Here is a 21751-nt window from a genome sequence, read left to right as displayed (position 1 = left end):
ATAATGAAGTAATTATACAACTCACCATAACGTAGAATCAGTTGGGAGCCCTGAGCTTGTTTTCCTGCAACTAGACAGTCCCATCTGGAGGTGATGGGAGACAGTGACAGATCGGGCATTAGATATATGCTCCTTATAAGGAGCATGCAAACTAGATCCCTTACATGCACAGTTCACAACAGGGTTTGTGCTCCAGTGAGAATCTAATGCCCCCAGTGATCTGACAGAAGGCGGAGCTCAGGTGGTAATGCTTGCTCACCCATGGCTCATTTCCTGCTGTGCAGCTCGGCTCCTAACAGGCCACCGACCAGTATGGGTCCGTGACCCAGGGGTTGTGGACCATTGTGTTAGGGTGTCTCTCTCTAACCACCTGCATTACAACACTTCTGGAGGAGGAAGCTGCTTATTAGAGATTTCCCCAGCCCTATTCTGAACATACTGTCTCAGAATCACAAGCTGGGGCTTAGCAATCTGTACATTTAACCAGCTCCTCAGGTAGTTCTGGTCCTTGCTGCAGTCTGAAAATGGCTGAAGTGCTTATTCTCTCACTCTGGACCTGAACTTCCCAGTGACCTGGGGAAAATGGTTCCACTTGGGCAGGTGCTGCTGTGCCTGGAACCCCACTGCCAGCTGTCTGTGCCTCATACTGTGTGGGGCTGTGGCAGTTGCAAGGGAAACTGTCATTCCTAGAATCCTAGAGAGAAAGAGACTTTGACAATTATCTGGTTTTAGGGCTCCCAAACTTGGGAGCCTTTAAAGAATCATGAAAGAGACATGAAAAATATAGATTCCAAGATCCAGCCTAGACCAACTGAATCAGAATCTCCAAGAATGGGCCTAGCTTCTATTTTTAACAAGCTCTCAGTGGATCCCTTTGCTATTAGCCTGTGTATAAGAGCCAGTGATGTAGTTCACCCACTCATTTTACAGCTGCAGTAACTGAGGCCCAGGCAGGGAAAGGGCTTTCCCATGATTACTCTGGGTATGCTGATGACCCCAGTCCTTTTTTTTTTTTTTTGAGAAGGAGTTTCACTCTGTCGCCCAGGCTGCAGTGCAATGGCACAATCTCGGCTCACTGCAACCTCTGACTCCTAGGTTCAAGCCATTCCCCTGCCTCAGCCTGCCAAGTAGCTGGGATTACAGGCATGTGCCATAACACCTGGCTAATTTTTGTATTTTTAGTAGATACGGGGTTTCACCATACTGGCCAGTCTGGTCTTGAATTCCTGACCTCAAGTGATCCCGCTGACTCGGCTGCCCAAAGTGCTGGGATTACAGGCATGAGCCACTGCGCCCAGTCGACTTCAGTCCTTTTTCTCAGCAACTGGTGTGTCCTGCCCTGCTTTGCAGTCGGGAATGCTATTCGTTCACGAGATGTGTTGGGAGGACATTTCACAGCTGAAAGTGGTGTCTGCATTTTAAAAGAGGACCTTGGGGAAAACAACATTTAACCCAAAATAACAAACAACTGGTAGTGACATTTCGGGCACTGAGAAATGTTTTGGACTCAAATGGGATGGGGCAAACTTTCCCAATAGCCCTCAAAAGTGGATAAAGCTGGCCACAGAAGTTTCCCTGGAGCTTCACACCATGGAATGCCAAGCTAGAGGTACCCTGAGAGTTCGCATGCTTTCTCTGAGCAAGTTGCCCATTGTAAGGTGGCTGATCTGTGCAGGACCACGTTGGCTCCTGTGACCTCCTGGTGAAGCACAGCAGGGAACATTGGTGCCTGGCTGCTATAACTGGGCAATGCTGACTTGTATCTGGAACCCTGACATCATTGCTAGAGAGTCGATGTCTCTACTGCAGTGATATGGGAGGAAATCCGACCTCATGATAGAGAGTGTATACAGTGCCTAGATCTCATTGCTGGAAAAATAATAGACATTCCCAGATCCTAATGGTCACAAATGAGGATGTAGCTGAGACCCATACTTTACTGGTGGAAGGTGGAAAGTTCTGATGTTGATATGCTTGATAGTTACTTTTTTGGGGGGTGAAAAACGGGAGATGGTAGGTTTTGGGGGGAGCAGTCTCTATCCCATAGATCTCTGTAAGAGGGGACATGGAAAGGGCAATTTCATGACTTGGCCCCCTGACTACTCTGTCTCCGCAGGTGTGAAATGGAGGCGAGGGGTTGTTCAGAAGGACACTGCCTAGTCACTCCCGAGATCCAAAGGGGGGACTGGGGGCAGCAGGAGTTACTGATCATCACAGTGGCCGTGGCGTTCATTATCATAAGCACTGTCGGGCTTCTCTTCTACTGCCGCCGTTGCAAGTCTCACAAGCCTGTGGCCATGGAGGACCCAGACCTCCTGGCCAGGAGTGTTGGTGTTGACACCCAAGCCATGCCTGCCATCGAGCTCAACCCATTGAGTGCCAGCTCCTGCAACAACCTCAACCAACCGGAACCCAGCAAGGCCTCTGTTCCAAATGAACTCGTCACATTTGGACCCAATTCTAAGCAACGGCCAGTGGTCTGCAGTGTGCCCCCCAGACTCCCGCCAGCTGCGGTCCCTTCCCACTCTGACAATGAGCCTGTCATTAAGAGAACCTGGTCCAGCGAGGAGATGGGTCAGTATAGCCAGAGACGCTTAGCCTCTGGGATTGATGGAAGTGGGTGGTGGTTCTAAACACTCCGTTATCTGAGGCACAGGCATTTTTAGCTACCACGCATCCAACCCTTTGGGATGGGACATGATGAGATGTGTTCAAGATTACAGGGCACGGATGCTGGAGCAGATACCAGGTTTCTGAGGCTCATTCTATTGCACTCCTTTAAATTCCAAGTCACTCCATGGGATTGAGGTTCATGACAGAAATGTGTAGACCCTGGATAGGGTTGGGTAGAACCCTTGGAGTGAGAAGGGGGCTTCTGCACATTTGTGCTTTTCTGGGAAGGGAAAGGAGAAGTGGTCTAAGCTTCTGGTTGCCCAGTGTGGAAGTGCAGCAGCCTTGGGCCAGACCTGGCTGACCTAGAGGGGGAATATCACCTTCTTCTCATCTTTGGCTCAAAAGGGGGTGCATTAGTAAAGCACTTCATGTTTTGGCATAATCATTAGCAGTTATGATAGGTATTTTCACTATGTGTCAAATACGGAAACCGAGGCCCATCAAGATGCAGTGACTTGTTCTAACTAACCCAACTATTCAGTAGCAGAGGCAGGGCTAGGACCAAGGGCTCCTGGTCTCCTGATTTCCGAGCCACATCTCATTTCATCACTCTCCATGATAGACTCCATCACACCTGTGAGTGAGTCCAAACTGTGTGTGTGTTTCCTTCAGTTAAGGGGATGAAACTCACCAGTAGGACTTGGGATGGAGTTACTGTATCCAGCTGTGGGGGTGGGTTGCATGGAGACATCCAAATCCTTCCCTTGTTCACTGACCCTCAGATTAGTGGCAGGGATTTGCAAGATGGGCTGGCCTTAGGTCAAACCTCTAGCCTTGAGCTTGTCCCATTGGATTCTATGTTATCAACGTAAGCCAACAGAGACAACCTGCACAGATGGGCCTATGCCCACCCACTCCCATCTCCACCACTCGCTAGGTTATATATAGTTGCTATAGAGCCAGCTGAAACCTTCCGGGGAGAAAATGAGCTCACCCTATCTTGCTGTTCCCTTTCAGTGTACCCTGGCGGAGCCATGGTCTGGCCCCCTACTTACTCCAGGAACGAACGCTGGGAATACCCCCACTCCGAAGTGACTCAGGGCCCTCTGCCGCCCTCGGCTCACCGCCACTCAACCCCAGTCGTGATGCCAGAGCCTAATGGCCTCTATGGGGGCTTCCCCTTCCCCCTGGAGATGGAAAACAAGCGGGCACCTCTCCCACCCCGTTACAGCAACCAGAACCTGGAAGATCTGATGCCCTCTCGGCCCCCTAGTCCCCGGGAGCGCCTGGTTGCCCCCTGTCTCAATGAGTACACGGCCATCAGCTACTACCACTCGCAGTTCCGGCAGGGAGGGGGAGGGCCCTGCCTGGCAGACGGGGGCTACAAGGGGGTGGGTATGCGCCTCAGCCGAGCTGGGCCCTCTTATGCTGTCTGTGAGGTGGAGGGGGCACCTCTTGCAGGCCAGGGCCAGCCCCGGGTGCCCCCCAACTATGAGGGCTCTGACATGGTGGAGAGTGATTATGGCAGCTGTGAGGAGGTCATGTTCTAGCTTCCCATTCCCAGAGCAAGGCAGGCGGGAGGCCAAGGACTGGACTTGGCTTATTTCTTCCTGTCTCGTAGGGGGTGAGTTGAGTGTGGCTGGGAGAGTGGGAGGGAAGCCCTCAGCCCAGGCTGTTGTCCCTTGAAATGTGCTCTTCCAATCCCCCACCTAGTCCCTGAGGGTGGAGGGAAGCTGAGGATAGAGCTCCAGAAACAGCACTAGGGTCCCAGGAGAGGGGCATTTCTAGAGCAGTGACCCTGGAAAACCAGGAACAATTGACTCCCGGGGTGGGCGAGAGACAGGAGGGCTCCCTGATCTGCCGGCTCTCAGTCCCCGGGGCAGAGCCTGATTGACTGTGCTGGCTCAACTTCACCAAGATGCATTCTCATACCTGCCCACAGCTCCATTTTGGAGGCAGGCAGGTTGGTGCCTGACAGACAACCACTACGCGGGCCGTACAGAGGAGCTCTAGAGGGCTGCGTGGCATCCTCCTAGGGGCTGAGAGGTGAGCAGCAGGGGAGCGGGCACAGTCCCCTCTGCCCCTGCCTCAGTCGAGCACTCACTGTGTCTTTGTCAAGTGTCTGCTCCACGTCAGGCACTGTGCTTTGCACCGGGGAGAAAATGGTGATGGAGGGCAACAAGGACTCCGAGGAGCACCACCAGGCCTCGGGCCCCAGAGGTCCCACTCCTCAGCCTACACGCAGAGGAACGGGCCCACCTCAGAGTCACACCACTGGCTGCCAGTCAGGGCCTGCCAGGAGTCTACACAGCTCTGAACCTTCTTTGTTAAAGAATTCAGACCTCATGGAACTCTGGGTTCTTCATCCCAAGTTTCCCAGGCACTTTTGGCCAAAGGAAGGAAGGAACTAATTCTTCATTTTAAAAATTCTTAGGCACTTTTTGACCTTGCTGTCTGGATGAGTTTCCTCAATGGGATTTTTCTTCCCTAGACACAAGGAAGTCTGAACTCCTATTTAGGGCCGGTTGGAAGCAGGGAGCTGGACCGCAGTGTCCAGGCTGGACACCTGCCATTGCCTCCTCTCCATTGCAGACGCCTGCCCATCAAGTATTACCTGCGGCGACTCAACCCTATGCATGGAGGGTCAATGTGGGCACATGTCTACACATGTGGGTGCCCATGGATAGTACGTGTGTACACATGTGTAGAGTGTATGTAGCCAGGAGTGGTGGGGACCAGAAGCCTCTGTGGCCTTTGGTGACCTCACCACTCCCTCCCACCCAGTCCCTCCCTCTGGTCCACTGCCTTTTCATATGTGTTGTTTCTGGAGACAGAAGTCAAAAGGAAGAGCAGTGGAGCCTTGCCCACAGGGCTGCTGCTTCATGCGAGAGGGAGATGTGTGGGCGAGAGCCAATTTGTGTGAGTGGTTTGTGGCTGTGTGTGTGACTGTGAGTGTGAGTGACAGATACATAGTTTCATTGGTCATTTTTTTTTTAACAATAAAGTATCTTTTTTTACTGTTATTTTCTGTGTCCTTTAGCCTGTTTGGGGTCAGGGGAACGATGCAAGGGTCCACAGGCCGTTCCAAGATTCATGGATTTTGGGAGCTGGAAGGGATCCTAGAGATTGTCAAGCAACAGAGATTCCCAACCTGGCAACATTACCTATCCCAGACACAAAACCAGAACTTCTGGGGGTGGGGCCCAGGAAACTATTTGGAAAAAACCCTCTGCCTCTGATACAACTGTCTGCAGTGGTTCAAGCCCCTCCATTTAGATGGGGCTCTGGGGCTCTGAGGCTCTGAGTGATGAGTCCACTAACTAGCAGGCTAGCTAAAGCCCAGGACAAGACCTGGGGCTTCCTGCCCTTGCCAGCACTCTTTGCACTGCATGGCATTAGTTACGGAGAAGGGACTTAACTATCAGAAGTCTTGGGAAGCTGGCCCTCCTGGGACCCAGAGTCAGCCTCTGGCTGCTACTCCACAGCGCACCCTTAGTCGCCAGCTAAATGTGACTTCACCAGGCAACCATGATGACACCGAGACAGGAAAGCCCAGTCCCTGCCTTCAAGTTCCCAATCCAGCTGGGCAAAGAAGGCACACCCGTGGGAGACACCACGCAGGCAGTGGCTCTGAGGTTGAACAGGTTTGATTCCAAGCCCAGCTCTGTCGCACACTAATTATGTGGCCTTGAGCAGATATGACTTGGCCTCTCATTTTTCAAAGAGAATTTTTTTAGAGCAGTTTTATGGCTCACAGAAACACTGAATGGAAGGTACAGCGATATGCCTTCCCTCCCATACATAGCCTCCCTCATTATTAACATTCCCCACCAGAATGGTATAGTTGTTGCAACTGACAACTCTCCATTGATGGGTCATTATCACCTACAGTCCATAGTTTACATTAGGGTTCACTCTTGGTGTTGCACATTCTATGGGTTTGGACAAATGTATAATATGTATCCAGCATTACAGGCTCTTGCAGATGGTTTCACTGCCCTAAAAATCCTCTGTGCTCTTCCTACTCTTCCCTCCTGCCCCCTAACCCCTGGCAACCACGAAACTTATTGCTGTCTCCATAGTTTTCCAGCATGTCATATAGTTGGAATCATATGATACGTAGCTTTTTCAAACTTGCTTCTTTTACTTAGTAATATGCATTTAAGATTCCTCCATATCTTTTCAGGGCTTGATCATTTCTTTGTAGTGCCGAATAATACTCCACTGTCTGGATGTACTACAGTTTATTTACCCATTCACCTTCTCAAGGACATCTTGGTTGCTTCCAAGTTTTGGCAACTATGAATACAACTGCTATAAACATCTGTGTGCAGGTTTTATGTAGATATAGGTTAGCTCTGGGTAAATACTGGCAAACAGTCTTCCAGAGTGGCTGAACCATTCCACGTTCCCACCAGCAGTGAATGAGAACTCCTTTTGCTCCACATTCTCACCAGCATTTGGTGGTGTCTGTGTTCTGGGTTTCCACCTTTCTAATGGGTGTGCGGTGCGGTATCTCACTGTTGTCTTAATTTTGCATTTCCCTGATGACATATGATGTGGAGCATCTTTTCATGTGCTTTTTTTTTGACATCTATAGATCTGCTTTAGTGACGTGGCTGTTAAGATGTTTGGCTCATTTTTAAACTGGTTTGTTTTCTCAATGTTGAGTATTAAGAGTTCTTTGTATATTTTAGAAAACAGTATTTTATCAGATATGCCTTTGAAAATATTTTCTCAGTCTGTGCCTTGTCTTCTTGACACTGTCTTTTACAAAGCATAGGTTTTTAACTTTTTTTTTTTTTGACAGAGTCTCACTCTGTTGCCCAGGCTGAAGTGCAGTGGCACAGTCTCGACTTACTGCAACCTCTACCTCCTGGGTTCAAGCAATTCTCCCACCTCAGCCTCCTGAGTAGCTGGGATTACAGGTGCCCACCACCACACCCAGCTAATTCTTGTATTTTTAGTAGAGACAGGGTTTCGCCATGTTGGCCAGGCTGGTCTTGAACTCCTGACCTCAGGTGATCCACCCGCCTCCGCATCCCAAAGTGCTGAGATTACAGGCATGAGCCACCGCACCTGCCCTACTCGTTTTTAATTTTAAGGAAGTCTGGCTTATTTCTTTTATACAGAATGCCCTCGGTGTTTTATTTAAAAACTCATTGCTAAACCCAAGGTCTCCAGGTTTTCTCCTATGTTATCATCTAGGAGTTTTATAGTTTTGCATTTTACATTTAGGTCTATGGTCCACTTTAAGTTACTTTTTGTGAAGGATGTAAGATCTAGATTCATTTTGTTTGCATGTGGCTGTCCAGCTGTCCAGCACCATTTGCTGAAAAGGCTGTTCGCTCCATTGTGGTGCCTTTGCTCCTTTGTCAAAGTTCAGTTAGGCCTCTCATTCCTCAGTAAAATGAAGATAGTAAATAATATAGGAATAATAGCTATCTCATATTGTCATGAGAAATACATGTAAATGGAAAGTTTATTAAAGCATAAACAATAAATGGTGGCCAGTATGACAGAAAATAATACCAGGCCGGGTGTGTGGCTCACACCTGTAATCCCAGCACTTTGGGAGGCCAAGGTGGGCAGATCACCTGAGGTCAGGAGTTCAAAACCAGCCTGGTCCCTCCTGGGACCCAGAGTCAGCCTCTGGCTGCTACTCCACAGCGCACCCTTAGTCGCCAGCTAAATGTGACTTCACCAGGCAACCATGATGACACCGAGACAGGAAAGCCCAGTCCCTGCCTTCAAGTTCCCAATCCAGCTGGGCAAAGAAGGCACACCCGTGGGAGACACCACGCAGGCAGTGGCTCTGAGGTTGAACAGGTTTGATTCCAAGCCCAGCTCTGTCGCACACTAATTATGATACCATGAAAATATGTAACCATTCAGATTAAAAAATGACTGTCAGGGGCCCCCTCTTCGTCTTTGGGAAACAATGACCTGGTCCTCCTCATTCCTGATGTTTCACATGCTAAGGCCCATAGAGAAAGGGTTTGTCTGAGGTCTCACAGCCGGAATTCCAGGGGCAAGACCCCAAGGCAGGTCCGACACCCAGTCTGGGGATGTCCACACAGCACCTCCCTGCCTCCCATTCTCCTGGATGGGGAACGCCTTCTTAACCAGCCCACCTCCATCCTCTCCCCACCAGGCCCCGCCTTCTCCTTTTCTTCCGCAGCCTGCGCCTTCACAGATTAGCCACCAGAGGGCTCTCTGGGATCAAGGACCAGTTTACTGGGCCTGCGGGGAGGCCTAAAGGTTTTCAGGTAAATCCCGGCATCCTAAACCACTGGGGCTCAGGCAGACTTGCAGTTCACCATCGTGACCGTCACTACCATCAGCCACCACCTCTACTGCCTCCTTTTACTGAGCATTTGCTATGCCAGGTGCTGTGCAAGCACTCAGCGTCTTATCTCATTTAATTCTCACAAAAACCTAATGAGGGGCCAGGCACAGTGGCTCCCACCTGTAATCCCAGCACTTTGGGAGGCCGAGGTGGTTGGATCACCTGAGGTCAGGAGTTCGAGACCAACCTGGCCAACATGGTGAAACCCCGTCTCTACTAAAAATACAAAAACTAGCTGGGCATGGTGGCGTGTGCCTGTAATCCCAGCTACTCAGGAGGCTGAGGCAAGAGAATCACTTGAACCCAGGAGACGGAGTTTGCAGTGAGCCGAGATCATGCCACTGCACTCCAGCCTGGGTGACAGAACGAGATTCCGTCTCAAAACAACAACAACAACAACAAAACCCTAATGAGGTAGGTACTATCATCATTTACAAATGGAGAAACCGAGGCACAGATAAACTGAGGGACCCCTAATTTATGTTAGTAACTTAAATAAGGTAAGTCACAGAGTTCATGAGTGACAGGACCAGGATTCCAGTCCAGGTCGGCCTGACTCGGGAGGTGCGCCTTACGTTTGGGTTCGCGAAATAAATTACAAATACAGGGGACTGATGAGCAGCAGCAAGTGCAACGGAACAGGCTGAGTTCAGAACAAGCCAAGAGAAGGCCATGCTAATTTCTAGGTGGCACAGAGCCAGGGGGCCCAGATTTGGGGAGGTGGGGGTCTGCTCAACTTAGGACTCAACCCCAGGCCTCTCCCGAAGCCCTACATCCACTTTTGGGGCTGGACCTTAAGAGTGGCACAGCAACTTTGAGCATCGCTAGAGGAGCAGGCCAGAAGGGAGGGGCAGGGTGGGGACTTGCTGCCCTGCTGTGAGGAGTGGTTTCAGGAGCCAGACAAGGCCTTGCTATTGGAGAAGGAAACGCAGCTGGGATTTGCCAGGACAAACGGTGTAAGAATTGGGAAACAGGAGAATTGGGAAACGACTTCCTTCAGGGGCTGGCGGATGAGGGAGGGCTTGCACAGTTGTTGTTACAGGGGTGGTTTTCAAGCCTTTACAGGAAGGACACATATGTTTTCCAGGCATCAGGGCAGTGCTCTGGAGGGAGGCACATGGGATCTCCGAGGCAGGCATGAGGACTGGGCTAGAACCCTCAAAAAGTGAGCATCTGGGGATAAGCAAAGGCAGAGCCAAAGGCCTTGGGGGGAAAACGACATCTGTTGGACTGAAGATTATGTATGAAGATTCTAAAAGAGCTAGAGGGCAAAAAAGACCCAGCAGGTAGAGTTTTAAGGCATGGAGTGACGCGCCCAGGGCTCGCAGCTGGTCCAGTATAGAAGAGTCAACCCAACCTCTTTGCACGACTTGAAACACTGGTGCAATGCCAGCCTGCTAGGGTGCCAGACCCAGGTGCTGGTCCATCACCTGTGGTGCGGTGTCTAAGGACAGGCTTTGGAAACCCTCGGGCAGCCTCTGACTGCTTCTAGAAGAGGGGCACCAGCTGTTTCACTGAATGAAAAGCAGGAACTTTCTCAGGCATCCAGCTGCAAAAAGACAATTTTAAAACTTTTCTCAAAATTCCTCAATGAATCCAAAGTGTCCAACCAAGAAAGGTGCCTGGTTAGATTGATACAAAGCTGACAATATAGTGATGTCACCTCCTTACCAGGCCAGGGCACTATTCACTACAGAAGGAGACTACACTGAATTTAGTAACCAAAGATTTCAGATACGTAATTAGCCCCCAAGGGCAGAGTGGGAGTAGATTTCATCTGATTGATCAGTGCCCTCAGGCAGCTCACAATCTGGGGAAAGTGGCCGAGCAGCCACGTCTCCAGCGCAGGCAGGTATGAGGATAACCAGAGGAGGGAGGTGACAGCATTGCTGAGGAGGGAGCTGTAAAGTTCTGACTGAACTGGCCAGGATGGGTCCACAGGGGCCCAGCCATCTGAGCTGGGTCTTAAAGCAGAGCTTCCAATTTAGCACAGAAAGGAGGGTCAGCTAGGCTAAGGGAAAATCCCAAAGGGAAGGCCTAGAGATTTTAAGTATTTGGGCAATGGTGGGTAGTTCTGACAGCTGGGAGTGACTTATGGAGGGCAGGGTGCAAAGCAGGCTGGAGTCAAAAGACAGGCTTGGAAATGTGCCGTGCTCAGTGAAGGAGGTGAGGAATGAAGGAATCAACTGGCAGGGGAGAAGATTGCAGCAGCAAGGACGTGAGGTTTGATGTCAGACAGACCTGGCTTCACCGCTTTGGAAACGTGATCTTGGGCAAGTCATTTAACCTTTTATGCCTAGTTTGCAAAGTGGGGATATTACCAGTACTTTCCTTCACTGGATTTGAGTATTAAAGGAGACAATATACATAAAGTGCTTAGCATAGTTTGTATACTGAATGTTCAGGAGATGTTAGAGATATTTTACCATTACTACTGAAAAAGCAGCTCATTGTGTAGTATCCATATTGACACACTTTCCTTTGTTCCATGGCCATAATAAAAGGACATTCCCACCCCCCTGGCCGTGCGCAGTGGCTCACACCTGTAATCCCAGCACTTTGGGAGGCCGAGGTGGGTGGATCACCTGAGGTCAGGAGTTCGAGACCAGCCTGGCCAACATGGTGAAACCCCGTCTCTACTAAAAATACAAAAATTAGTCGGGCGTGGTGGCAGGCGCCTGTAATCCCAGCTACTTAGGAGGCTGAGGCAGAGAATCGCTTGAACCCAGGAGGTGGAGGTTGCAGTGAGCCAAGATTGCACCATTGTACTCCAGCCTGGGGGATTAGAGCAAGACTTCGTCTCAAAAAAAAAGAAAAAAAAAAAAAGGACATCCCCCCAGCTAAAGGTAGGTGGGCACCAAATGTTCTCAGGCATTGGTTCCTGGCAGCTGAGGTGGGCAATTTCCACCCCATCCCCCACTCCAGCCAAGGGGATATTTGGCAATTCTGGAGACATTTTTAGTTGTCACAACTTGCAGGGTGCAACTGACATCTAGTGGGCAGAGGCCCAGGATGCTGCTAAACATCCTAGAATGCACAGAAAAGCCCCTCAACAAGAATTCTGCAGCCCCAAATGGCAGTAATAGTGAGGTAAAGAAACTCTGTCCTAAAGAAACCCACGCAGCCTTTCTGTAGCACCAGAGCAGCCGGAAATCCAGCCTGGGGCAAAAGTACCCTTATGCCAAAAATAGAAGTTATGCATATGGCTTTGCTCATTTCTAAAAAGGCACCATTCTGGATTCTACATCTGTCAGAGTAAATATCAGGGTGAGTGAAAAATGAAAGGCAATCTAACAATATAAAGAATAGTATACAATGATCAAGTAGGATTTATTCCAAGTAAGCAAGGCCAGTTCAATATTCAAAAATCAATCAATGGAATCCACCATATCAAAAGGTGAAAAAAGAAAAACTATACGATCATATCAGATACAGAAAAAGCATTTGACAAAATTCAGTACTCATTCATGATTTTTAAATATCTCAGTACAGAAATAGAGGGGAACTTCTATAAAAATTATACTACTTACATCATACTTAAAGTGAAAGACTGAATGCTTTCCCTACAAGATCAGGGACTGGACTAGGATGTTCACTCTCACCACTTTTTTTAAACTGGAAATTTGAACCATTGCAATATGACAAAAAAGAAAGAAAGAAAGAAAAGAGATAGACACTGGAAAAGAAGAAATGCATCTATCTCTATTTGCAGACAACATGGTTGTCTAAATAGAAAATCTCAAGAAATCTAACCAAAAACTCCTAGAATTATCGAGTACAGAAAGGTCACAGGATACAAGATTAAAATACACAAATCAGTTATATTTCTATATACTACCAATGGACACACAGAAACTGGAATAAAAAATACCATTTATAATTGCTCCAAAGAAAATTAAATACTTAAGTATAAATCTAACAAAACACAGGATCTGATAAATGGTTAAAATAACAAATAGTGTCAGGAAGGATCACCTAGGTCAGAAGTTCAAGACCAGCCTGACCAACATGGCAAAGCCCCCTCTCTACTAAAAGTACAAAAATCAGCTAGGCGTGGTGGCATGCACCTGTAGTCCCAGCTACTCGAGAGGCTGAGACAGGAGAATCGCTTGAACCCAGGAGGCAGGGGTTGCAGTGAGCTGAGATGGTGCCACTGCACTCCAGCCTGGGTGACAGAGTGAGACTGTGTCTCAAAAAACAAACAAACAAACACCACAAATAGTGGTAACACCAAAGGCTGGCAAAGTTGCAGAGGAAATAGATCACTCATACATTGTTGCTGGAGTAGCAAAATGGTAGTCACTCTGGAAAATGGTTTAGAAGTTCCTTTTAAAACGAATAATGGGCTTACCATACGTACTAGTCTGTTTTCGCGCTGCTGATAAAGACATACCAGACATACCAGAGACTGGGCAATTTACAAAAGAAAGAGGTTTAATTCGATTTACAGTTCCACATAGCTGAGGAGGCCTCACAATCGCGGCGGAAGGCAAGGAGGAGCAGGTCACATCTTAAGCGGATGGCGGTAGGCAAACAGAGAATGAGTTTGTGCAGGGAGACACCCCTTTTTAAAACCATCAGATCTCGTGAGACTTATTCACCATCACGAGAACAGCGCAGGAAAGACATGCCCCCACAAATCAGTCACCTCCCACCGGGTCCCTCCCACAACATGTGGAAATTCAAGATGAGATCTGAGTCAAACCATATCACCATACAATTCAGCAATTGTGCTCCTGGGCATATATCCCAGAGAAATTAAAACTGATTTTCATGCAGGAACACTTGTACAAATATTTATAGTACTTTATTTGTAATAACTAAATCCGGAAACTGCACATTTCTTTCAGTGACTGAAGGGTTAAACATCAGTACCATGGAACCCTACTCAGCAATAAAAAGAAAAAAACTATTGATAAATGCAACAACTTAGATGAACATCAAGGAAATTATACTGAGTGAAAGAAGCCAATCCCCAAAAGATACATATGGCATAATTCAATTTATTGAATTATTATTATTAATTTCATGAATAAAATTATAGAGATGAACAGATTCGTGGCTTCTGGGGAAGGTTAGGGATGTGGGGGACTGAAGGGAGTGGGTATCTATAAAGGGGTAGCATAAGGAGTCTTGAGGTGACGGTACAGTTAGGCATCTAGATTGTGGTGGTGGTGTATACAAAGCTACTCATGATAACATTGCATACAGCTATACACAAACACACACACACAAATGAGTATCTGTATAACTAATGAAATCTGAATCAGCTCTATGGATTGTGCTAATGTCAATTTCCTGGTTTCAATAATGTACTACAGTTATGCAAGATGTTAACACTGGGAAGCCCAGCTGAAGAGTGCTCTGGACCTGGACCTCCCTCCTGTGCCTTTGAGTCTTCCTGTAATCTACAATTATTTCCCAATAAAAAACCTATATCAAAAGAAGTAGATGACTGAATTTTAAGAGGCAAAATATTTGAACAAGTACTTCCTTAGGCCAATAAGCACGTAAAGAGGTGCAAAACATCACTAGCCATTGGGGAAATGCAAATTAAAACCGTAATGAGATGCCACTTCACACCTATTAGAAGGGCTAAAATTTAAAAGACCACAATATTAAGTATTGGTGAAGATATGGAGCAACTGTAACTGTTATACATTAGGAATCCAACAAGGAACGGCCACTTTGGAAAATAATTTGCCAAAAGTTAGCACACATTTCCCATACAACCTCATCATTTCACCTCTAGGTATTTACTCAAGAGAAATAAAAACATAGGTCTACACAAAGACCTGTACATGAGTATTTATAGCAGCTTTATTCATAATAGTAATTTTTTTATAATTAAATATAGAGTATATTTGAGCCCAAAACTTGCGAATGGCCACTGGGAAGCACAGATTCAAGTTGCCCTCATAACATACTCTGATTAGCAGCAGTTAGAAGTGAGTTTTAAAGGAAGAAAGAAGAGGTAGTTTCTAAATTGTTTACCAGAAATTTACATTAAAATAACATAAGCCATAATAACTAAAAATTTGAAGCAACCTCAAAGACTATCAACTAATGAATGGATAAACAAATTATGGTTCATCCACGCAATAGATACTACTCAGCAATAAAAAGAACCAATTACAGATACATGTAACAACATGGAGGAATATAAAAAGGATGATTATGTTAAGTGAAAGAAACCAGACACAAAGGGCTACATATGTAACGGTTTTATATGACATTCTAGAAAAGACAAAACTGGAGACAGATAAAACAGATTAGCAGTTGCCAAGGGCTGAGTGGTGTGAGGATGGGATTGATTGCAAAGGGGCACAAGGGACCTTCTGGGGGCAAAGGAAACATTCTGTATCTTGATTGAGATGGTGGTCACATGACTGTATGCAAAACACATTGAACTGCACATTTGAAAAAGGTAAATTTAAATTTAATTACATGTAAATTATACTCCATTTTTTTTAAAAAAGGAGACCAATGGCCAAGGGTCTAGTAAAGCATACCCATTAAAGACACACATAGTTCCTCAGCACAACCGCAATGGGCAAAGTATGAGGAAGGCAACCTACATAGCAAAGAGCCCCAGGCTTAGGGTCCAAATTCAGTCCACTGTCACTCAGGTTTATGCCTCCAGTAGTAATGCAATGGGCTTACCTGAGGGCCCTGGCTTTCTGGAAGAAGGGGTTCCAGCCATTAGGTATAAATGTGAGCAGAAATAAAAAATTCAGGAGGTAGACAACCTAAAAGAGGATTGAGTGGCCTCCACAGAGGAAGTGAGCAAGACATCAGTGCATGGATGGACAGCCAGAACAACAAGCAGAAGTATTTTGGAGTCCTGGTTTTCTACAAGTCAGCTAATATTTCAGAAAATGTTTAATAAGCCCTTTGTGATTATGACATATGGCACTTTACAACATTCTCTCTAACCCTCAGGACAATTCCCAAGGCAAACCTTCCTCTTGAGGCTGCAACAGACAGGCAGCCAGCGCCTTGGGAAGCACTCAGGTTCTGGAACCAGAAGACTTGTGTGTGTATCCCAATGCTGCTAACTACTAGTTGGTGGCTTGGCGTAGCTGCTAAATCTCTTTGACCTTCCTGTTCCAGAAATGATAATGACAACGAAAATAGTCAGACTACATGCCCACCTTCCTCTCTTGGTAAAATGTTATACTTTAAGAGTATTCTTTGAAGGCTCTGTTTTAAAACTTATACTGGTAAATGTATTTTCCTGAGTTCTATGAGCTACTCTAGCAAATTAATTGAACCCCAAAACAGAGTCATGGGAACCCTGATTTAAAATTTTTAGCCAGTCAGAAGCACAGGTAAACAACCTGGTACTTGCAATTGGCACTGGAAGTGGTGGTGGTGGGGGTGTCACTCTTGGGGACTGAGCCCTCGTCCTGTGGGATCTGATGCCATCTTCAGGCAGGTGGTGTCAGAATTGAATTGGAGCACACCTGGCTAGTGTTTGCCGCAGAAGTGATTGTATGCTTGCTGGTGCGAACAAATTCTCAAGTATTTTGGGGGGCGGGGAAATGTATTGAGTGAGAGAATAAACATTTTAAGCCTTAAGTGTGTTTTCCCACTCAGTGACAAAAAGGGAAGGGAAGGGGTGTCATCTCTTCCATTGTCCTGTCCTGAAATTAATCTCCACATTTCAAGAAAATTAAGTGTTACCTGTTGTGTCCGGTTTCTTCAGAGAAACAAAGCCAGTAGGAGATATATATATACACACACACACACATATGTGAACACAGATACACATAGAGAGACTGAGAGAGAGACAAATCAAGGAACTGGCTCCCATGACCGTATGAGTCGGCAAGTCTGCGAGTCATAGGGCAGGCCTGTAGGCAGGAGCTGATGCTGCAGTCTGGAGGCAGAATTTCTTCTCCAAGGAAACCTCAGCTTTGTTCTAAAGGCCTTTATACTGATTGGATGTGGCCCACCCACAATATTGAGAAAACCTCTTTTACTTAAAGGCAACTGATTATAGATGTTAACCACATTTACAAAATACCTTCGCAGCAACACCTGGATTAGTGTTTGACTGAATTATAAGTTGACACATATAAAACTGGCTGTCATGTGGGCTCATCTGCTATGCAAGGAGAGGGCTGAAAATTCTTACTCAAGTTTTCGAGAGAAGCAGGAGGAGGTTTAGGGAGGGGAGGATTGTCTAACAGAAAAAAAAATAAAAAACCATTCCTAGTCCCTTTCTTCTTGGGCGACTCTTAATTCCATGGATGGGTCTACTGCTTGTGCCACTTTGCCATATGAACTCTGTGGCATAAGCCGGAAACATTTAACCCAGTATCTAGTAAAGGGATCTGAGTGATATAAAAAGAAAAAAAAAAAAGACACAGATAGCAACCTCTCAAAAATAAAAATAAAATTCATTTATTGAAAAGAAAAAGCTTAACATACGATCCATGTGCAAACCCCAAAACAGGATCTACGAACTCTGGCATGATCCACATCGCTACACATACCATGCTGGAAGTGCACATCCACACAGGCACGTAACATACACAGTACTGTCTAGTTATCAACACCTACAGATTGGTTGATTTTTCTTCACACACCATTGACATGTTTTACAATAGAGTTACCAATTTTATTATCCACTGAAAGAGCATAGCTTCCCCCAGAATCACTTTGATTTAAACCAAATAACACAGTGAATGACAGGCACCCTGCACCTATATCTGCTACCTTCCTTACTCTGATAACCTCCTACCAGCACCATTTATGTCCTCTGGCCAGGGAACGACTCAGTGGCACAAAGGAAAGAGAAGAAATGTTACAGGCTGATGCTGTCGGGGCAAATAGCCCTGCAACCAGCCGGACTTACTGTCTAAAAGTATTAACCGTAATTTCAAAGACAAACCACACCCCTTCCTTTTCCCCTAATGGCCTCAGAGATTTGTAATGTACTTTGGAAAATTAACTTCTAAGGCAGAGTGGAAGCCAACCTCAAGTCCTGCCACTTGGACTCTGTGTCTTCTCTTCGAGGAAGCAGCATTGTGCACCCAGCAGGGGCAGATGCTGAGGCTTGCCTTAACATCTCAGCAGCTACAAAATGAAATCCACTGATACAGAACCCCTTGCTGTGAGCAGTGAGGAGAGAGAGCTGTAAACAGACACAAATTGAGATTTTTGCACTTCCAAAAAATACGAGGTGAACATTAGTGCTAAACAGAGAGAATGTTCTAGGAAGGGAGAAATCTGAGAAGAAAAAGTAAGATGAGAGAGAAGAAACATGATTTTTCTAATGTACTTGTTTGAGATCAACACTTTAAGACTACTGATAAAACTAAATTTCGTGGGGATAGACAGTGAGCAGTGAGCATCAGCCAGTGAATCTGGCTGCAGAGGAGAGATGGAATTGGGCGGCTGAAGTGAAATGATGCCACACATTCACACATATCTAGCCAGGGCTTGTGCAGATGAAGGGATCTTAGCAGCTGGACAGCAGCACAACATAAATAATGCCACTTGTGAATGGTGACAACTGCTAGGCAGGGTGAACAGAAGACGCCAGCTCACACTCTTCCTAGCAAGTGCCTGCATTTAGGAGGAGGTGCACTGCCCACTGAGAGCTGGAAGCCCGCTCCCAACAGCAGCATTTGGAGGACAGAACCACCAAGGGGCTCTGAGAAAGCTACCTCTGGCTTGGAGAAATTGGGGTGACAGGAGCAGGGTCACAGAGCTCAAGAGTATCTGGCCGGAAAAGCCCACGGTTTCCCTTTGCTCCAGCAGATGCAGCCTCACACTCCCGAAAGCCTTTGCTCCGTTGCTCTGTGATCATATTTCTACTTATCCTGGGAAGACACTGGGGAGGGCTCTCTACCTCAAGAAGCCCTTTGGGCTGCATAAGAGATTCTGGGCTGGCTGCGAGCTGCTTGCATAAGAGGAGGAAGGGCTTCCTCCCACTACTACTGACTGGCTGACCCTTTGCTTGATGCCTAAGAGCTGTGCACCTGCATAGCCAGGAAGGTCCTCTGGCTGGAGCTGCCCTTCCTGGGTCTTCTGAAAGAGCCACGCAATCAGTCTGTCAGTGTAGCAGGAGCACAAGCCAGAGATCAAATAGGCCATGCCAAATTGGCTTCCAGAAATCCTAAAGCTACAGCCAACTCTCCTACATACCACGTTCTCACGGCCAGGGGTGTGGAAGCAATAGCCTGCATCCTGCTAAGAGCTGGGGGACCCCAGTATTCTACCATCCAGTCCTCAGGTCCCAACATCACAGTCCCAATCTCAGAACTCGGATGGGCAGGATGGTCTCTAGCAGCTCTGAGTAAACAGAAACGTCCACCAAGGAGGACATGGGCAGGACACAGGTCTGGCCCTCCAGTTGGCATCTACCTTCTCACTGAGACCACTCTTAGCACCGCTGGGAAAGACAGCTAAGATAGCGGCTGGGCTGCCAGAGCCCGAACTTGGAACCAGGAGATGACAGTTTCTGAGCCCACTTTGGTAACTTCTAAGCCTGAGACTTCAGAAGACAGGGCCTCTGCTACTCCCGGCTAGATTCCTGGTCACATAGCACCTGTTAAGAGTCCACCATAGAACAGAAAGGGTGGGTGAAAATCGTCCTTCTCCTAAGGAAGAACAAGTCAACAATGATAGCATATTCCTAAGTTAACAAATTATTAGGTAGGTTGGGAGTCACTACAATGAGAGTCCACTTTTCCCATCCCTTCACCTGGAAGTCAGCTCTCCTGGCTTTGGAACAGAAGAGACAGAAAAAACTGGGGCCATATGGGTGGGTCACAGCCCTTATGAGCTTTGGCGAAACACAGAAGCAAAACCCCTGATACATTTTTGCTGCTCTCCTTCAACCAGCTTTCAGAGTGAACTGTATCTGCAGTGAAGCAAGAGCCTGGTGACGGGACAGAAGAGAAAAGGAGTCTGGTCTGTTACTTACACAGGAACACACACACACACGCACGTACACACACACGTGCACAAATACACAGCTAAAGAGGGGGAATTCATCAATGGCCTTCTGAAATACTTCGCACACCAAGAGGAAAGAAGAGGCAGCCCACAGCAAGGCAATGTATCTTCCTCTGCCTTCTCTGAAGTTTGCTCCCAAATCTGAAGGCTGACCTTGAGGAGGGCCAACCTCAAGGCTGTTTGTGAAACCCAGGGAGGCATTCTGGGGGAAAGACAGGGCTCATAATTAGTGTTCAGTGGGTTCCTTTCAAAGTCCAGGCCACAGAGGCAGTGTGGGGCCGGGCACTGGTTCTGCCCTTTTCCCCACTGATTGTAAACAACCGAGCACTGCGCGTAGTGTCAGACCAGCTGCTGTAAAGTCTATTAACTTAATTTCAAACTCTGTGCACACTGACCTCAGCTACTCATCGGTGGCAATAGAGCTGGTGTCGTCCCAGCACGATGGCAACAGAGCATTGCTGATCCTTTCACCTGGCGTGGGCTGAGGCTGAAACATGGGCCTGCATGCACACAGCCCCATTTTATACGCCTCTCACTCAGCCACCCTTCCCTCGGCCCGGTGCACCCATACATTTCTGCAGTCCTTCAATGTCTTTTCGGTATGAAACCAGGCTGGTCAACAGGAGGCAAAATCTGTGCCTCCTCACCGAGGTACATTTTTAGACGATCCTGATTAAAACCTTTGAGTCCTCAGCCAAGAGTGCCGAGGACCCATGCAGACATCTGGAGCGAGCTTCTTTTCAGCAGGAGAAGTTGAGTCAAAGTTTACTGAAGAAGAAGTGATTCGTAATAGCCCCAGATCTAAGACAGTCTAAAAACAAAAATCTGATTTTAAATAAAAGATAAATATTTTCAGTTTAGGCAACACTTCGTATGTTTTAAGAGCTAAAGCAACTAAGAACACAGTACTGTGACCCACACTAAGGAATCCAGGGAAGAGAAGCATTGCCTTAGGGGTCACAGCAAGCCAGAGAGTCCAGATTAAAAACTCCAGCTTGGGGGCCTGTTTCAAATGACCAGGTAGGTCCAGCCACCCCCTGGAGACTCGAATAGGAAGAATACTGAGATACAACATTTGGGAGAGAGATGAGAAAGAAGCCCAGCTTTATAAAGAGGGGGCGTTCCCAGTTACTTAATCTATGCCTGGCCCAGAAAAGGTGAAAACATGAGGTGGGGGACATGAAAATTGTTAAATAAAGTGAACTGTGCAGTAAGAATGAGTTGGGCGAGGTGCACCAGCAGAGGGGAGGCAGGTAGGAAGGAGGAGGCATGATGAGGGGGAGCTGGAAAGTTCTGGGTGTAAATAGGTACAGGTGAGCGATGGCAGCCCTGTCACTAGTAGCACTTCTGCGTGTCTGCCACCCCACCTCTCCCCTGCCCTCAGGTTACCTGGCCCAGGGTATCCAGGTGCCAGGCAGAGGGGTTCCCACACAGCAACCCTGACTTTCCTCAGAGCCTGGACCATACCTGAGGCTCTGAGGACAGGTAACGGGGGACACATGGGGCAGGGGTAGGCAGCTGCAGAGACGAACCCAGATCCCTATATGAAGGCACAGGTGGAATTGATGAAGATGGGAGCATTGCTTGGCTGGATCAGCTCATAGAGAGCCTCATAGGTCCCCACCACAAAGCCCACGAAGCCCAGGATGCTGATCAGGGCGTCCTTAAAGATGGTGAGGGGGCTCATGCCCTCTGAGTAGAAGGTGGTGACCTCCAGGAGCGGTGGGATGATGAGGGCCAGGGCGCTGCTGCTCACGGAGCCCACCAGGGAGATGACCAGGTCCAGGCGGGGGATGAGGATGGCCAAGATGCCTGCAG

At 47.5% G+C, this 21751-nt stretch overlaps 2 protein-coding genes across 27 annotated transcripts in view, besides 3 other annotated features; one reads left to right on the top strand and one right to left on the bottom strand.

Moving 5' to 3' along the window:
* The window catches only part of FAT2 (FAT atypical cadherin 2), a 90728-nt gene extending 85092 nt beyond the window's left edge, over positions 1-5636 (top strand). For 5 of the 6 annotated variants that reach the window (XM_017009225.2, XM_011537600.3, XM_017009224.2 and 2 more), the window contains 2 exons: positions 2117-2574; positions 3631-5636. In XM_017009225.2, coding sequence (XP_016864714.1) covers positions 2117-2574; positions 3631-4163 — 991 coding nt within the window. In that variant the 3' untranslated portion in view covers positions 4164-5636. Of the gene's footprint in view, positions 1-2116; positions 2575-3630 lie in introns of those variants that run through there. The other variant, XM_047416934.1, reaches the window with a different exon arrangement.
* SLC36A1 (solute carrier family 36 member 1) overlaps positions 1-21751 on the bottom strand; it is a 211490-nt gene that overhangs the window by 46358 nt on the left and 143381 nt on the right. For 18 of the 21 annotated variants that reach the window (XM_011537591.2, XM_047416924.1, XM_011537585.1 and 15 more), the window contains one exon: positions 17349-21745. The exons of the other annotated variants lie outside the window; for them this stretch is intronic. In XM_011537591.2, the coding sequence (XP_011535893.1) occupies positions 21474-21745 (272 nt within the window). In that variant the 3' untranslated portion in view covers positions 17349-21473. Of the gene's footprint in view, positions 1-17348; positions 21746-21751 lie in introns of those variants that run through there. 21 annotated transcript variants of the gene reach the window in all.
* Positions 11189-11850: an enhancer, noted in NCBI's record as "H3K27ac-H3K4me1 hESC enhancer chr5:150877439-150878100 (GRCh37/hg19 assembly coordinates)". NCBI's record gives its function as "activates a minimal SCP1, AML or CMV promoter by ChIP-STARR-seq in primed H9 embryonic stem cells {active_cell/tissue: H9 hESC(primed)}" and the evidence as "EXISTENCE:reporter gene assay evidence [ECO:0000049][PMID:30033119]".
* Positions 13188-13737: an enhancer, noted in NCBI's record as "OCT4-NANOG-H3K27ac hESC enhancer chr5:150875552-150876101 (GRCh37/hg19 assembly coordinates)". NCBI's record gives its function as "activates a minimal SCP1, AML or CMV promoter by ChIP-STARR-seq in primed H9 embryonic stem cells {active_cell/tissue: H9 hESC(primed)}" and the evidence as "EXISTENCE:reporter gene assay evidence [ECO:0000049][PMID:30033119]".
* Positions 18719-18888: an enhancer, noted in NCBI's record as "experimental_82529 CRE fragment used in MPRA reporter constructs". NCBI's record gives its function as "activates a minimal promoter by MPRAs in K562 erythroleukemia cells, with activity observed for both the introgressed and non-introgressed 5:150870486 variant alleles {active_cell/tissue: K562}" and the evidence as "EXISTENCE:reporter gene assay evidence [ECO:0000049][PMID:34662402]".

Source organism: Homo sapiens, chromosome 5, assembly GCF_000001405.40.
Source record: "Homo sapiens chromosome 5, GRCh38.p14 Primary Assembly".
NCBI classification, from domain to species: Eukaryota; Metazoa; Chordata; class Mammalia; order Primates; family Hominidae; genus Homo; species Homo sapiens.
Note: the sequence above shows the minus strand (reverse complement) of the source record. Positions and strands in the feature narration are given on the sequence as shown.